Consider the following 18,063-nt stretch of genomic DNA (forward strand, 5'->3'; position numbering starts at 1 on the left):
TGAAATCGTTTCTTCACTGGATGGGAAGGCAGGCACCCAGGGGGAGATGGCATCAGCTGCATAAACAATTTTTCTCCTCAGTAGACATTTACATGAGTCAATAGGAATCATATTCTCTCTTTTTTTTTTTTTTTTTTTTTGGAGATGGTCTCACTCTGTTACCCAGGCTGGAATGCAGTGGTGTGATCTCAGCTCACTGCAGCCTTGACCTCCTGGGTTCAAGAGATCCTCCCACCTCAGCCTCCTGAGCAGCTGGGACCACAGGTGCTTGCCACCATGCCCAACTAACTTTTGTATTTTTTGTAGAGACAGGGTTTCACCACATTGCCCAGGCAGGTCTCAAACTCCCGGGCTCAAGCGATCCTCCCACCTTGGCCTCCCAAAGTGCTGGGATTACAGGTGTGAGCCACTGTATCTGGCCTAGGAATCATATTCTCTTCACTGAAACATTTCAGATGACTTAAAAATTCACCTTGTAGAACTTTTAAAATTGAAACTTTCTGGTGAACATCATTAGTTGACAGATATGTCATTGAAGTTTCATCCTTCTTCATTTCAGAGTCTGCTGGAAGACCCTTCATTTACCACTCTCTCCTTCCTGGAGGTGTGGAAATACTCTACCTGGGTGAGGCTCTCGTGGCTTTTTGTGCCAAGTGTCCGTAAACTTCAACTTAATTGTTTTAAATCCTTTGTGGTGATTATGCGGAAGGTCAAATCTAACAGGAAGCTCCATGTCCACTTGATGTGTACTTACTTCTATTTTTGCACCTTGTGTTGTTTGTTATCCTGAATTATGCCAGGGCTGGTTTGTGCTAAGATACTTGTTATTTGACCTCATAATACCAGCATGTCCCGTTTGTATAACCCTCTCTGTAGCTTCTTCCAGCATGTGATCATACATCTACCTAACCTCTCCCATTGGTTGAATTTAATATACTAGTGAATTTTCCATTGCAAAGATGAGGTTACGAATCATAGTGTTCATACTCAGAAGGACTTTATAAATATTTTGCCTTTTTGAAGTATATACAAGAAATGAAAAAAAAAACAGGAATAAATAAAAAGAATAAAAAGAGCCAGGACTAGAACCTACAATTCCTGACTCTTGATCAAATTGCTTTTCTTTTTAACTCTAGTTAAATATTTTCCATTCTTTTTAACTCAAGAAGCCTTTGTTTTTGTTGTCATCGTTTTATGATTAACTTATATCTGGTCCTTTAGACATTTAGATTTTTTCTGTTTTATCTCTCTCTATATGTATATCTGTATATATATTTATCTATATCTATATAGAGATATATATATATATATAAAATAATGAATGAAATGGACTGTTTGCAACCTCAGATGTATTTCTAGGACTTAGAGTGATTAGCTTGAGGCGATGGTAGTTTCTGTTTTTGGAGTCTCTGTAGGTCTCAGACTCACAGTCTGTACTTCTTGTTTTGGGGGCTAATTAAGTGGACAGTTTCAGTGTTGGTAGCTCATTTAAGCCATAAACATGCAGACCATGTGGAATCCCATTAGTCAAACCTTAGCAGAGTGCCTTGATGAGTACCTCCTTTTCTTTCTGAATTCTATTAGTTGATGCTTTGTTCTTTCTCCCCAAGAGCCATATCTCAGCTATTTCTTTTCATTTCTTGTGTATAGTTCAACATCTTTCTTTCTTTTTTTTTCTAAACAGGATCTCACTCTGTCACCCAGGCTGGAGTGCAGTGGCATGACCATGGCTCACTGCAGCCTCGACCTCTGGGGCTCAAGCGATCCTTCTGCAACAGCCTCCCTAGTAGCTGGGACTACAGGTGCATGCCACCACACCCAGCTAATTTTTATATTTTTTGTGGAGATGGGGTTTTACCATGTTGCCTAGGCTGGTCTCGATCTCCTGGGCTCTAGCAATCCTCCCACCTCGGCCTCCCAAAGTGTTGGGATTACAGGCGTGAGCTACCGTGCCCGTGCCCGGCCTTACGTTTCAGCATCTTTCAATCCATCTAATACGCAGTGCCAGGGAAGGTTTGTGAAAACATTTGAATCACAGAGTCACAAACAGTGAGAATAGCTGCAGTTATGTTTGTGATGCTCTAATGAACTTACAAAAGGCCAGGCCTAGTATTTCAGCTGTGTCCATGATGTCTCTGATGGAAATGGACAGGTAACATGATGTACACAAGCATTTGACTGTTGCATCCTTTGATTGGGCCATGTTCATGCAGCCAGCCTGGGAAAGCAATTAGTAGTTTTAAGCATGGGAAATCATATAAAAGTAAACTAAAATTGCATTTGAATTAATTGATGAACATGTTTGCTTGACCATATCCTGCTGTTAGGCGTCTTCAAGTTAACTTAAGTGGTTGATAAAACTTTCCAAAAAGAATACTATCAACTGCTGAGCACCTGTTGTCAGAGTTGTGGGTAATTCGCAAAGGTTTTCAAATGGAAAAGTTGTTTTCTCCTGCTAGGAAGCATGGTCTCAGATCCACTTCTAAGGTCAGTGTGAAAGGGAAGGCAAATTCACTTTGAGCAGGGGAGGCATGATCTGGAAGATAAAGCAGCTAGGAGTATAGACTAGGGGGCTGATGGAGGGGAACACCTATCACAATATGTGTTCTCACACCAATGGTATATATTTTCCACACATTTAGATTCTCCATGCCACTCCTTATCTCTTTAGTGCAGAAAACGGAGAGGAGGTTCAGTATTCTTAAGAAACTCCCATGATTGCTTTGAGGCAATGGATTTAACAGGTATCTTTATCCCTTATTTACGCACTGACTGTGGTACTGAGTCATCCCTGGTGTTTCTGGATTTTATTGGCAATGCCAAGAGAGCAGGAAGACTGGGACGTGAACTGACAACATTTATGATTCTGGCAGCTTGACATCACCCAACTGTTCTCTTTGTTTGGTTTTGCTTCAGACTTAGTTTAGTTTTGTTTTTTAAGGGCTGGGGTGGAGGAGAGGGATTTGCTCTTGCAGTTTTCCTTTCAAACCAAACTCTTTCAAAGCCTTTTGCAAACTCTTTTATGGATTTTACTCACTGGTTGAGCAAGAGTTACTTATGAGATGTGGCTTCGGCATTTTCACAGTGTCCATAAAAAAATGTATATTACTATGCATTGCACATTTGCCACTTAGAATTTCTGAATGCAAATTAATCAACTTGCAGCTGTGACTAACAATAAAACACAGGATAATGTACCTACAGAAATGAGGGCATTGGAAATCCGCTCTCAGGTGGCCATCGAAAATAGTCAGCCTGAGTGTTGCTACCTGTTTTCCATAATTGTGTAGCTTTGCCTTTCCTTAGTTAATCTGTTCAATAAACTCCTCTGCAGAATCCAAATGCTTAAATTCAGTTTCTTTTTGTCTTTATGGTGTTTTTCATTGTTAACGTGGCATCGGAGTAGCTCGACTTTTGCATCATGATAAATTCATAACCCAAGAGAAGGCAGAAAACATAATTATTATCAATTGCCTCTCTCCTGGAATTGCCATTGGCTGAGTGGAACAAAATACGAACTTAAGGAGTAGCTGATTCAGAGAAATCCAGGGTAGGAACGGGTCCCATCTTGATTTCAATGTCTTTTTTGAGGAGGCCTTCCCATTGCACTTCTCTTCAAGTTTGCCCAGATAGTAAGTTCTACTAGACATGTCAATTTTTTCTGAGGTCTAATCTTGATTTTTTTTTTCCTGCACAATATGGAATTCAGTGTTTTTATTTAATCATTCAGTAAGTCTTGACTGCCTGCTATGGAGGTTAAGCCCTTTACTAAGTTCCAAGGATGTACCTGTGAATAAGGCAAGTTCCTTTTTATCATTGTCTTTGCAGTCTATTAGGGGCTACACAATTTAAACAGAGAATATATATAAAATGGTAGAAAGTACAAGTAAGTATACCTTATTTTTTTTAAAAAAATGAATGTGGTATTTCACCCACAGCCTCAAGAATCACTTTCCTTAAAATTGCCAGAGTAGGAAAACTTACAATTGAAGAATTTCAGGTATTTATGGGAAAAATAGTATTAGGGCAATTGCGGTCAAACACATTCGTCTGTTCGTTCAATTACAGCAGTAAGGATGGAAGTCTAAAGAGAGTTTCTACGTGATCTTATTTATCCTGCATTTATAAATACACAAATTCTTGTACAATTAACTCAGTTTTTCACTCCTTTCTTGCTTGCAACTTGTCAGGTCGTTCCCTCCCCAGTAGTTGTGAACTTCTTTATGCTAGCTTCTTCCATCAGGGGCTCACAACCAGGGACTGTAGAGGTTTGCAGAGGTAAATCTTGGTAGATAAGGATTTTATGAAAAGGGAGCTCACTGTTGGTGAAAAATCCTTGTTTCTACAGATTTTGGGTCAAGATAAGAAAAATTAACTTTTAAAATCTGAGGAATTTGGAGATTATCTCCAGGGGCTGAATATATTTTTATGGGAGAAATAAAATGGATAGTTTTAAACTTGAATTTAGTTTTTCCTAATGGAGGCCCTTTTGAAGATCAAATGGGATCTGTAAAAACTCTTTGAAAAATGTAGACTGCTTCTTATGTGATTCTTACTGGTCTATTATTTATCAAGAAATTAAAAAGGAATGAATATCTGTAGCTGTTTTTCTTTTTCTTTCTTTTCTTTTCTTTTTTTTTAAGATGGAGTCTCGCTCTGTCACCGGGCTGGAGTGCAGTGGTGCTATTTCGGCTAACTGCAATCTCTGCCTCCTGGGTTCAAGCAATTCTCCTGCCTCAGCCTCCCAAGTTGCTGGGACTACAGGCGTGCGCCACCATGCCCAGCTAATTTGTAATTGTTTGTTTCTAAAAGGATATTCAGTGCTTCCACTGTCTTTTAGAAGTCTGTAGAAGGAAGGCCAAGAAAGAAATACCCATTATTTTGGCTGAAGATGATCACTTTAGCTGAAACCAGTTCAGGTTCAAACTCAGACATTGGTGCTATTTTCATATATCTGAAATGTTCTGAAAAGATTACTGACGATCAACATGCTGAACTGACATTTCACAGATATGCAGATTTATTCATCTCTGTTCAAGGTATGCCTTTTCCAATCATAATAGCCACGTAGAGGACATTAAACAAATATTTTATTGTGGTAAAAACACTTAACATGAGACCTACCCTTTTAACAAATTTTTAAATATATAATTTATTATTATTGTTGACTATAGGTAAAACAGGACATTTTTAACGTGCTGTGGTGGCCTATTGGACTTTCAGCCTCCCTGGGTGTATTTCGCTGTATATGTGTACCATGTCAGCTTACCCTAGAATTTGAAACATTTTCCTTTGATGATTAAATTTTTTTTTTTTTTTTTTTTGAGATGGAGTCTTGCTCTTTTGCCCAGGCTGGAGTGCACTATCGCGATCTCGGCTCATTGCAAGCTCCGCCTCCCGGGTTCATGCCATTCTTCTGCCTCAGCCTCCCGAGTAGCTGGGACTACAGGCGCCTGCCACTACACCTGGCTAATTTTTTTGTAGTTTTAGTAGGGATGGGGTTTCACCGTGTTAGCCAGGATGGTCTAGATCTCCTGACCTGGTGATCCGCCTGTCTTGGCCTCCCAAAGTGCTAGGATTACAGGCGTGAGCCACCGTGCCTGGCCTGATGATTCAGTTTTTACCCCAAGATGCAGTATGCCTCAGTCTCACTAAAATATGCCAATATGTTCTTCTTCTTGAGGATCAGGGCTGATTTCTTCTACTGGGAAAATGTATCCCCTGTGTTTGGCCCCAGAGGCATCAGGGTAACCTGCTCTCTTCCATTCTCAAAGCAGAAACAGTGTTCCTAACATTCTAAGCCTGGGAATAGGATGGCAGGTCGTGGGACCAGCATTTTAATTACCTAAAGGGAACTTATTGATTTTAGTCCAGAACACGGTGGGGAGGAGTTCATATTCTTTTTTTTTTTTGAGTCTGGATTTTAGAATAAATTCACTGTGTACATAGCTATTCCATCTTTAAAAACCTTTGTGAATGTTAATATACAGCCTTTATAAATTTGAGGTATAATGTTCAAAATGCTCTAATCCCTAAATTTTCCAGTCTAGGTTATTATACTTTTATGACTATTCATTTTGATGTAGGCCTTTTAAAATCAATTCCTCCCTGTTATTACAATGCTGCTTTATGGTATTTGTGATATATCATATGAATATACTTGAGGGTCATGAGAAGTTCATATGTGTGTGTGTAGTGTGGGCCCCAGACTTTCGCCATACCGCTGGCTAAAGTGGCCATGTTTTTGTACGTCTCTGCAGAGCTTACAAGTTATTCAACAGCCAGATTTCTATTCTGATATGCCCTTTTAGTTTTCAAAGCATCGAAAAAGGGTAATCTTTAGAACCGAAGTATTTGGAAAACTCCTAGACTTGAATAAGGTATTTTTGAATTTGAAGAGCTAAGAACCCATCAAATCAAAATGCTAATAATTCTTCCAAGTCAAAAGGTAACTCTCATTTTATTATGCATTGACCACCATTCACTTTCTGTTGGACTGCTTTTGGAAAAAGAACCACAAGTCTCTATTTTTAAAATAGAGGTACAATGATAAAACAAAACAAAACAAAACAAAAAAACAACAAAAAAAAACCCACACAGGTCTCATCAGCCAAGGGATTTAAAAATCAAATTTAACTTCAAAAAACTGAAGTTGATATAGCAGGATCTTGGAGATGCAGTTTCTTCACTTTTCTTTTTTTTCTAACTGAGGGATTAAGGATATAAACCCAACTTCAAATTTCTTTCTGGGTGGTCTTGAAAACTTAACAGTAGGTCCTGTAAAGAGGTGGGGGAGAGGAAAAAGAAATCCTTTACTCTCATCTGCTGGTTTTAAAATGAGAAAAATACACACACACACGTAATGATGTTCGTGATGTTAATGGAGGGAAATATCATAAATAATTAAGAATTTAAAATTATTATAAAATATTTAGTATTATTGTTGTTACTGTTATTAGTAGGAAGGGGCCTTGCCATGCTTCCTTTCTTCAAACAGCTCAGTACTTTAAAATCGAGTGTGGCTGTGTTTGTCAGTCGTGGTTTGTGTTCTTTGATTTGTTCTGCATGTTCTTCTTTTGGAGAGGATGTGTCACTTTGCCAATCTTGGTCCTTGCTGTTGTCTGGTGGAGGGAAACAAGCCTGCCAGGCCGGCTCATCTGACCCCTGGTGGCAGGGAGTGGAGGTGCACTCAGGATGCTCTTGGGGAATCATAAAGGAGGTTAAAGAAAGGGACAGCAGAACCCTGACAATCCTTGCCCCTAAGCATGGAAAAGCCTCCGGACCGGGTCTGGAGTGCAACAGAGGCCCCTGACCTTGTCTCTAGCTCTCTGTCTGCATCTTCAGCGTGGCTTCACTGGTTTCTAAGTCTCTGGTGTCTTTTGTCTTTTGCAGCCGGCTTGCAATTGCCTCCTTCTAACTCTCAAAAGGATGCATGGGATGGGTTCAGTGTAGTCACTGTTGTGCCTTTTGGACAAGGCTTTCCAGCCAGGCCACCCTGTTTACAAGGCTGTCCTCACGTCATGGGCGCTCATATTGTCCAGACTAGATGGTCAAGGTGATTGGGGGAAGGAAGTCACAGAGCCACCAATTACTAAGGAACTGCCCAGAGATCCTGCCTCACTGGGAACCTGTGAGTGGGCTGGTTTCCCCCAGCAGAGGGGCTGTAGCATAGCAGGTACCCACAGGAGCCTGGGCATGGCCTTTTTCTCTAAAGGGCTGGATAGTCAATATTTTTAGCTTTGTGGGCTTTATGGTCTCTGTTGCAACTTCTCAACTCTCCTGTTACAGCAGGAAAGCAGCCACAGATAATATATAAATGGACGGATGTGTTCCAATAAAACTTTATTTATAGGAACAGGCAGTGGGCCAGATTCAGCCCGTGGGCCATAGGTTGCCAGCCTCTGACTCTGGTGTTCAGATCACAGACTTTGGATGTCTCATATCTGAATCTTTCTAATCTCGTGATAGGGCAAGGTAATTAAAATGTTAATACGTTAGTTTTCTCACTGTCAATGTGTTCTATGACATCATTTATGCAAAGCATACAAAGCTGAGAATAAAGTCTCAGCAAATGCTAGTTTCCTGGCCTCCTTATACATACTTACAAAGGATGGTGGGAGATAGTTTGAGATTTGAGGCCTCTGAAGAATAGGTGTTTTTGTGATGATTTTGGCTTTTCAGTTTGACAGTTGGCTTTGCTTTTTTGACAGACACATTAAGAGCTTCAAGGGTCATTTCATGGTTTGTCCTTTCCATGTCAGGGACACCTTTCACGTGGCCATTTTAAGCACAGGAATTGCCTTCAAGTAGTTTACTCGTACGAACTTGTCTGTAATCATCTTTCCCCATTTGGATGGTGGGTTGCCCATTTTAATTCAAGGTTTGTCTAATGTGTTAGTGCATATTCTTGGCTCAAGCAGGATAAGACACTAGTAACCATGAACCTGTATATCAAAAAGCGTGACTAGAGTTTCATAGTTAAACATGTGCTGAAATCCACAGTGGACACCAGAGAGGGTCATGGAATCTGGGAATGGATGACTTGTCCCATGATGATAATATCTGTGTTCCTACGGCTGGGCCCGGTGGCTCACACCTGTAATCCCAGCACTTTGGGAGGCCGAGATGGGAGGATCACGAGGTCAGGAGTTGAAGACCACCTTGATCAATATGGTGAAACCCTATCTCTACTAAAAATACAAAAGTTAGCCGGTGTGGTGGTGCATGCCTGTAATCCCAGCTACTCAGGAGGCTGAGGCAGGAGAATCACTTGAACCCAGGAGGCGGAGGTTGCAGTGAGCCGAGATCACGCCATTGCACTCCAGCCTGGGTGACAGAGTGAGACTCCGTCTCAAAAAAAAAAAAAAAAAAAAAAATCTGTGTTCTTGCCTGGCTTATTGAGCTCCATGGTAAATGTTCAGAGGCTGCAGGAATGATTCAAAGTCTGACTGATTTATGTGCATTGGGCATTTTGTTGATGTCATTCAGATTAATGATGGCACTGAAAATGTGTAATGGAAATGAGAAGTTTGTATCCTGCCTGCTATACCATGATTCCAATTTAAGAGGGGGTAAAAATATTGCACTTTTTAATCTATTGTTTTTTGAAAGAGACTGTTTAAAACACGTAATTTTGCTAAGTTATGGCTCATATCGTATTTGTTATTTTGGTTTTGAAAAATTGAGTAGGAAGCAATTGCGTTCTTAAATGACTTGAACATCAAAGGCAAGTAGTGTCTTGTTTTAGGAGCAGCCAGGCTCCTATCCCTCTGATCCAGCCAAGTGCTTTCACTTGGTCCCACTCTGGGGAATCACCAGTGGTTCTCACTCTGGGAGAGGCCCCTGGTTGACCTGGAATGACCTAGACCAGCAGTCACAAGCTCCTGCCCATGGACAAAATACAGCCGGTACCTCTTTGGCTATGGCCTGCAGGCTCAGAATAGTTCTTACATTTTCAATCATCTGCAAAAAAGAATAAAGAGGAGAATATTATTTCTTGAAGGAGGAAAATGATATGGAATTCTGATTTCAGTGTCATAAAGTTTTGAATTTCATCAATAAAAAATTTGCAGAAATTTGTTTTTCTCTCCTGTTATGTAAATACCTCTGTAATAGCCTCGGTTTTGCCTCTTGGCTCACAAAGCCTAAGTTGTTTACTATTTAGCCCTTTACAAAAAAAGTTTGCCAGCATCTGATGTCCAACAACAATTTTCAGTCTTTTTTGTAGCTCCCAAATTCTCTCATTAAACCAGATCCCTTGAGGGAAGCCTGGTTTACAAAATAGATTAAGTGATGTGGCTGTTTGGAGCAGGAGGCTGTGGTCTGAGTCTTGCTGGCCTCAACCCTCAACTCACTTCCACACCTTACCTCCTGGGGATAAGGCTGCCTTCGTCTAGAAAGTGCCTCGGTTCCAGCTTGGAAATATCCATGTACAGTCCCTTTTTTGTTATTCCAAAACCCAAAGAGATCTGAAAAGCAAAAACAAATTTATTGTATATTTATAGCAAATTTATTTGGTGGTGAAATTTGACTTCAGCTTTAGCGTCCCTGTTTCTCCTTTCTAGTGTGAATGTTCATTTTGTTTTGTTTGTTTTTTTGAGGCAAGGTCTCACTTCATCACCCAGGCTGGAGTGCAGTAGTGTGTTCACAGCTCAGAGAAGCCTCGACCTCCCGGGCTCAGGCGATCTTCCTGCTGTAGCCTCCCAAGTAGCTGGGACTCCAGGCATGTGCCACCATACCCAGCCAATTTTTGTGTCTTTGTAGAGATGCGGTTTCTCTACCATGTTGGCCAGGCTGAATAATCATATTTTCACTGAAGAAATAGAAATGTCATTGTTATAGGATGTTGCCCCAAACCCCGCAAAGGTATTTTGTAATATGCAGTATATGTGCTAAATTACTTTTTTTGTTGTTGTTGAGATGGAGTTTCGCTCTTGTTGCCCAGGCTGGAGTGCAGTGGTGTGATCTTGGCTCGCCATGATCTCTACCTCCCAGGTTCAAGCGATTCTCCTGCCGCAGCCTCCCGAGTAGCTGGGATTACAGACATGTGCCACCACACCCGGCTAATTTTGTATTTTTAGTAGAGATGGGGCTTCTCCATTTTGGTCAGGCTGGTCTCGAACTCCGGACCTCAGGTGATCTGCCCACCTTGGCCTCCCAAAGTGCTGGGATTACAGTACCTGGCCCAAAATACCTTTCTAACATGGAGGAATTAGGAATACTGAAGGCATCGGCCCCCAAGGGTTTGATGTGCTCTTGTCCCCAAGGCCTGCAGATTTGCATCACCTCTCCACTTCGTGGACTCCTCGTACCTGCCTGATTCCAGGATGCTCTAACCTGGCCACGCATCCCCCGTGGATTCTCAGCTGTTGTGTGTTTCCTCCTCAGGTGGCCACTGTGTCTGGTGCTCACCCACATTTTGGTTCATCCTGACTTTGCCTCAGCCTCCCCATTCTGCATTTCTCCCACGGCTTCTCCCAGCCCTGGCCCAGTGACACTGTAATGTGGACTGTGGCATCCCCTGAGTCTAAGCTGTTGACCAGCTCTTGATGGACAGATGCTGGCAGAGATGGGGAAGGTGCTGTTCCCTTCCTCCTGGGAAGGGCAAAGAAAGCAGGGTGGTCCTCCCATCCCCGTGAGGAAGGAAGAGCCTCATTCATGCTGAGACCCTGATGGAGAACTGGGTCCAGGGATAATGTTTTGTGTTCCTGCTCATGGGACTGGTGTGTTATTGTCAAGGGATCTTACAGGCCTTGCTTCCCAGGCCCCTCTATCCCCTCTGTTCTTGCTTAGGCATTAGTGATTTGGTTCTTCTAGCTTTTTTTCTTTTTTTGAGACAGGGTCTCGCTTTGTCATACAGGCTGGAGTGCAGCAGCGCGATCTTGGCTCACTGCAACCTCCGCCTCCTGGGTTCAAGCAATTCTCCTGTCTCAGTCTCCTGAGTAGGTGGGTCTACAGTCACATGCCACCACGTCTGGCTAGTTTTTGTATTTTTTAGTAGAGATAGGGTTTCACTTGTTGGCCAGGCTGGTCTCGAACTCCTGACCTCAGGTGATCCGCCAGTCTCAACCTCCCAAAATGCCGGGATTATAGATGTGAGCCACCACACCAGGCTGGCTCTTCTAGTTTTTGAAGCTCACTTTTCTTTTTTCCTCAAGACTCACAGGGAATGGGACCAGGCACCTGTCTTTATACATTCTCAAAGTCCATGGTGACGATGCCATGCTCCGGTTCTAAGCCAGTTGGACAGACACAGGCAAGGGAAGCTGTCAGTGTGGGTGTGAGTTGCAGTGTAAGGGTAGTGGGTGGAATAGCGTCTCCCCAAAATCCACACCCACACAGAATCACAGATGTAACGTTATATGGAAACAGGGTCTTTGCAGATGTAATTAGCTAAGAATCTCAAGGTTAAATCATTCAGGCTTTAGAGTGGGCCCTAAATCCAATGACGGTTATCCTCATGAGAAGAGGAAAGCAGGGGGCACAGTGGTGGGTGTGCCTGCAATCCCAGCTACTCGGGAGGCTGCGGAGGGGGCATCACTTGAGCCCAGGAGTTCATTGCCAGCCTGGGCAATATAGCAAGACCCCATCTCTTAAAAAAAAAATAACACCAAAAGACAAAACAGAAAAAGGAGGAGAGGACACAGAGGAGAAGGCTCTGTGAAGTCAGAGGCAGAGATTGGAGTGATGCGTCTACAAGCCAAGAGATGCCACGGTCATGGGCAGCCCCCAGAAACGAGGAGAGAAACCTGGCACGGTTTCCACAAGGAGTCACCCCTGCCAACACCTTGGTTTCAGACTTCTGGTCTCCTGAACTGTGAGAGTCAGTTTCTGTTGAGCTTGTGCTGATACGCTAGGGCAGCCCTAGCACACTGCCACATCTGGTTTCCCGGAGGAACTTCACAGGGTCTTTGTTCTTTATCTACAGTCTCTGGAAGTCTCAGCAGCCTCCTGTGTTCGCAACTGTCATTCCAGAGCAGCCGTCTCGTGTTATGCATTTGCTTACTCATAAGCAAATATTTCACAAGAACCTGCGAGGGCCAGGCTGGGCCAGGCAGGTATTGCAGGTGCAAGGATCTATATAAGACAGTGCCCTTTAGAAGATCCCTGTCTCATTGAGAAGCGTTGAGTAAATGGGTCTCTCTGGTCATTCTCTCCAGAACATGAAGCCAAAGGGCTGAGAGGGAGAGACTCCAAGAATGAATTAGTGTCCAGCAAGGTATCGCTTGTCTCAGGATGACAACTTGCAATTTGGGGATCTCTCAACGTCCTGACCTCCATCTCAGTGGGCATGTTCCTCACCTGGCTGGCTGCCCCTGCTTACTGATGCAGCCTCCTGTCACACGGTACTCACCTCTATTCACTGTATTCCACCAACACTGGCCTTGGGAGCCAGCAGTACCCCCATTGTACAGATGAAAGTCTTGTGACTGTCAACATTAAAATGAGAATGATATTGACCCATGATACTTACCCACCTGTTCAGTGGATTCGGTGTGCCGTCAGCATGGTTCCCAGCACATAGTAAGTGCTCCGTAAATGTCAGCATCTATTATTATCATTTGTGTTTTTTTTTCCCCTTCTCTGCCTTCCTTTCTCTCCCTCCTTGGTCTGCTTCCTCCTGTTGCTATCAGAGCCTGCCTGCCTCATCCTTGTTCCAGCCTTGATGGTGATGATGATTGTGGTTGCTGTTGCTATTTGTTTTTTTGGTTTGTTTGTTTGTTTTGAGAGGGAGTTTTACTCTTGTCACCCAGGCTGGAGTGCAGTGGCGCCATCTCGGCTCACTGCAGACTCTTCCTCTTGAAGCTGGGGAAGTTCAAGCAATTCTCCTGCCTTAGGCTCCTGAGTGGCTGGGACTACAGGCATGTGCTACCATGCCTGGCTAATTCTTTGTAGTTTTAGTAGAGATGGGGTTTCAGCATGTTGTCCAGGCTGGTCTTGAACTCCTCAGCTCAAATGATCTGCCCACCTCGGCTTCCCAAAGTGTTGGGATTACAGGCGTGAACCACCACGCCCCTCACGCGCAGCCACTGTTGCTATTGATGATTATTATGACATCATTGCTCAGATTCACTTGGCTCAGAGAGGGCGGAGTCAGAGTGACCCAGGTGGTCACTGCTCCCCTTCTTGTCCATCAAATCAGCTGCCTCCAACAGCATTGCCTGGCAGCGTCACGTAGTAGCCCTCTCCCTCACAAGGCTTTTGAGGCAGACAAATGCCACTGATAAAGCAAAAGCAAATGTTTTGGGTGAATTCCCCATAGCTACACTAGATTTGAGGCTGAGAAATGGAATGCCTGTCATTGTTGACTGAAAAATACAGCTCTCCTAATAGAGTCTTGGTGCAGGAGCTGTTAGCCTTGCCGCCCTGCAGACTTGAAGAATTGCGACGTCGGCCTAACATAATTTTGGTAACTTTGTCTGCTTCTGCCTCGGGTAGAAATAATTCAGATTTCACTCTCCATTTTCTTTAATGGGCTAAACAGCCACTTTGTAATACCTGTATTTTATTAGACATAATTCTGGATATTGTTTCTGCAGCGTTTTTGAAAAGACAAACCTGAGAGAGCCCAGCTATTTAACTTAAGCAATTTTAAAGTTATTTGTAAAATGATATGCTGTCTTTTTTGACCCAGTTACTTTATAAAGCTACATTCTTTGGCAAACATTAACACAACTTCTCCGTGTGTGGGCTAAATAAATATTCGGGCAACACTGATTGAGCACTGCCTTGGGTAAATAATTCTCTCTCCACACATTTCCTAGTTTATAATGAGGAGTTTTCTTCGTGGTCTGACCAAATGTAACATTCCATTGAAAATGAGACATAAATCCTTGAGTGAGGGAGACGTGGAACCAGGGTTTGAGGAGGGTTATTAAAAAGGTGAGGGTAGCAGGGTGACCTCCTGAGTCCCCTGCTCTCCCGAGCCTTCTCTCCTCTCTGGAACCCATGGCTAATAGGGGACAGGAGAGAGCGGAAGCAGAAAGAATAAGAGATATGAAAGCCAGCCGGGCACAGTGGCTCACGCCTGTAATCCTAGCACTTTGGGAGGCCGAGGCAGGCAGATCACTTGAGGTCAGGAGTTCGAGACCAGCCTGGCCAACATGGTGAAACCCTATCTCTACTAAAAATAACAAAATTAGCTGGGTATGGTGGTGTGCGCCTGTAATTCCAGCTACTTGGGAGGCTGAGGCATGAGAATTGCTTGAACCTGGGAGGTGGAGGTTGCAGTGAACTGAGATCGCACCACTGCACTCCAGCCTGGGCAACAGAGGGAGACTGTCTCAAAAAAAACCAAAAACAAAAAAAGAGACATGTGAGCCTTCCCTTCCCTCTCCCCATCCTAGCCTCCTCTCACCCAGGTCCATTCTTCCACTGTCATCCCATGATGCTCTCTTGCATTTTAAAGTTTGGAAGCCCTTATTCCTTTGTTTTGTTTTTGAAATACAAATATCAACATTTTTATTGTTCTATAGTAATACACGTTTCTTCTATAGTACATTAAATCACAAGAGGTAATAGTGTATCTACTAACACCTATACTTTTGAGTAGTGTTGAGTGTAAATGATATTTTGAAATATCTGCAGTAACTGATGTGATATGCAAACATCTGTGATTTCTTTTAATTTTTATTAATTTTCATTTTTTAAAAAACTTTAGTTTCTGGGGTACTCGTGCAGGGCTGTTAAATAGGTAAATGACATGTCATGGGGGTTTGGTATACAGATTCTTTTGTCACCCAGGTCAGAAGCATGGTACCCAATAGGTGCTTTTTCGGTCCTCTCCCTCCTTCCACCCTCTACCCTCCAGTAGGCCCCAGTGTCTATTGTTTCCTTCTTTTTTTGAGACAGAGTCTCACTCTGTCTTCCAGGCTGGAATGCAGTGGCACCATCTTGGCTCACTGCAACCTCCACCTCCTGGGTTCAAGCGATTCTTGTGCCTCAGCCTCCGGAGTAGCTGGGACTACAGGTGTGCACCACCATGCCCGGCTAAGTTTTGTATTTTGCGTAGAGGCAGTGTTTCTCCATGTTGGCCAGGCTGGTCACGAACTCCTGACCTCGAGTGATCTGCCTGCCTCGGCCTCCCAAGGTGCTGAGATCACAGGCGTGAGCCACCGCACCTGGCCTATTGTTCCCTTCTTTATGTGCATGTGTACTCAATGCTCAGTTTCCACTTACAAATGAGAACATGTGGTAGTTGGTTTTCTCTTCCCGCATTAATTCATTTAAGATAATGAAGCTCCTGTCCTTGACCCAATCTCCACTCTACCGTTTGATGTCCAGTGTGGACTGCCCCTCTGAAAGCCCTTCACTGCGGCTTAGCCTGTGGTGGAAGGTGTCCAAGGTGGCTGGAACACCTCCTGCTGGGGGTGTCAGTCTTGGCTCTCCTGTTTTCTGCCTGTGCAATGGTGGGTAGGTCCCTTGATACCTCGTAACCTCAGCATCCCTGTGGGTGATAAGGAGATGATAATAGTCTCTTCCCGATGGGGGTTAAATAAAATAATTCTCGGAGTATGTGAAGCAGTACATGTGAAGTGCTCAGCTTTGTGTCTGGCACATAAGGAAGTGGTCAGTGTTTAATGTTAGGGATCATAGATGCTGATAAATTGCCGTTTATGGCATATTTCATGTATTGCCTCATTTAAACCTCCTTGCAATCTGTATGACTCCTGCTGATGATGGGGAATTTGAGACTGTGAGAGGCTTGGCAAAAGATCTAAGCTGTGAAGTATCTGGAATAGGATTCCACCTTCAGCCCTGCCTTAATGAAGACCATGGTCTTGCCACATTGCATCTCCCCAAGATTTTTATGGTTCTATTTTTAGTCACGTTGGCCTGCGTTGGTAAATTTACCTTTCCTGGTCCTTTTGAGTAACTATCTCTGGAAAGGATTAAGTGCAGTGATCAATCAGCAGCAAAGTCCTGGAAGAAACCCATTTGTTAGTCTCTGGGCCTCCCCAGGCCTTATCAGGGCTTAGCCTTCGAGCAGTAGCAACACTTGCACCTGCAGTTACTAATTCCTGTGGAATGAAGTAGGCGGGCCCGAAATGTACAGCCCTTATCCAGTGAATTCTCATAGGAGCAAAAAAAAGTGTTTTCTTTCCCCCTTGGAGTTCTGTTTCTTCTTAAAATTAGCTATTTCTCATACACAATAGGGACATATTCATAAAAAAGGGAAAATACTCCAAAGTTGAAAAAAAGATTGAAAAAGAAAATCCTCCAATATATATCTACTCTTAGCATTTTGGCACATATTCTTACAGTAGTTTCAAATGCCCAGGCCATTTTGTTTTATTTTGTTTTGTTACAATTGTGGCATATGTACTCGTGATGGATTTGCTTGTTATCTCTAAATTAATTCTCCTCCTGCAATTCAAATATTCCAGAGATATGTATATTTTTAACACATTGTTAATTATCCCATATGGATAATAGTTTCTTTTCTCTCTTAACATTTTAAAAGCATGCCTCCAGGTTGTTCTAGACGGTCCTGAACAGTGCTTTGAATGGGGACATGTTAGTAAACCAATGAGAGGAACCACGGTTTAGTTCATCATTCTCCTTCTAACTGTATTTTTAGGTTGTCACTAACTCTTTTCAGTCGTCATTTCCATGGCCACGAACATCTTTGGTTCTAAAGCATTTTTCCCATTTAAAATTATTTCTATGGGATTGATTTGCCAGAAGTAGAATTTCTAGGTCAAAGGTACAAACGCTTGAGAAGTCCTGATACATATTAACTTGGGCCAGAAATCTACCATGTAATTGAGAGCACCTTGAGCTTGGCTTCAGAGCCAGGATGAGGACAGGAATAAGTGGGCCTTTTGATTTGAAATGTTGAGATACGAATGTATTCTAGATGGGCCAAATAACCAGCTTATTTTATTTTAAAGTCGAGTGAATTTTCTGCCTCACTAATGTGCATGTCTTCAAAGACAAGTAGTGGGAACGGAGTGGGGATTTGTCATCCCATAGAATGCCACCACATGGAATCGGTCCTGAGGCTTCTGAAAGCAGTTCCAAATTTGAATGTTTCCTAAGTTAGTTCTTGCGGTACAGCGCAGACAATATTCTTCCTCGACAATAGCTGAGACCCAAGTGCCTGGGCGCTTCCAGGTCATAATTAACCTCTTCAAAATAAGAGCAAAGAAAGGCAGGAAAAGGTCCTCTCCATTCCAGAAAGGAGAACAAAGAGGGGGAATTCTAACCCTCTTGCCACCTCTGTTCTCGTCCGTTCCATATTAAGAAGCATTCAAAGACTAGGATGCCATTTTGCAAACGTCTCATTCTCCCTGAATGGTAAGGCTCCACGCTTTAGCACAAGTGGTACAAATCTGCCTTCCCTCATTCTTTTTTGCAGATCATCCCGCTCCCCACCCCTTTCTTTATCATGGCTCATTTGGAGCATCTGTGCATTTTTTAAAGGCTGGATTTTCTTTCTGTTGCCATTGAAACATTGCATTTGTACAGGAGAACTACTTAATGGCACAGTTTGTTATTACATGGAATTAAATACAACCTATTTAAATCATGTACCGTGAAACCAAAGAGCTGTGTATGGAA

General features: G+C 42.9%; 1 protein-coding gene and 1 long non-coding RNA gene across 6 annotated transcripts in view, besides 1 other annotated feature; one reads left to right on the plus strand and one right to left on the minus strand.

The window, feature by feature from the left end:
* WWOX (WW domain containing oxidoreductase) overlaps positions 1-18,063 on the plus strand; it is a 1,113,014-nt gene that overhangs the window by 128,567 nt on the left and 966,384 nt on the right. The window lies entirely within an intron of this gene.
* WWOX-AS1 (WWOX antisense RNA 1) lies at positions 6,442-13,531 on the minus strand. 2 transcript variants are annotated; one of them, NR_184272.1, is made up of 4 exons: positions 12,978-13,531; positions 9,868-9,968; positions 9,412-9,462; positions 6,442-6,777 (listed from the first exon to the last, which is right to left on the minus strand). It is a non-coding gene; the product is annotated as a WWOX antisense RNA 1 (long non-coding RNA). The 2 variants fall into 2 exon arrangements; NR_184271.1 differs by having other exon boundaries at positions 12,974-13,531.
* Positions 12,352-12,646: a silencer, noted in NCBI's record as "tiled region #10407; HepG2 Repressive DNase matched - State 5:Enh, and K562 Repressive non-DNase unmatched - State 13:Ctcf". NCBI's record gives its function as "represses a minimal TATA promoter and a strong SV40 promoter by Sharpr-MPRA in HepG2 and K562 cells {active_cell/tissue: HepG2 | K562}" and the evidence as "EXISTENCE:reporter gene assay evidence [ECO:0000049][PMID:27701403]".

Source organism: Homo sapiens, chromosome 16 (genome assembly GCF_000001405.40).
Source record: "Homo sapiens chromosome 16, GRCh38.p14 Primary Assembly".
In the NCBI taxonomy this organism is placed as follows: domain Eukaryota; kingdom Metazoa; phylum Chordata; class Mammalia; order Primates; family Hominidae; genus Homo; species Homo sapiens.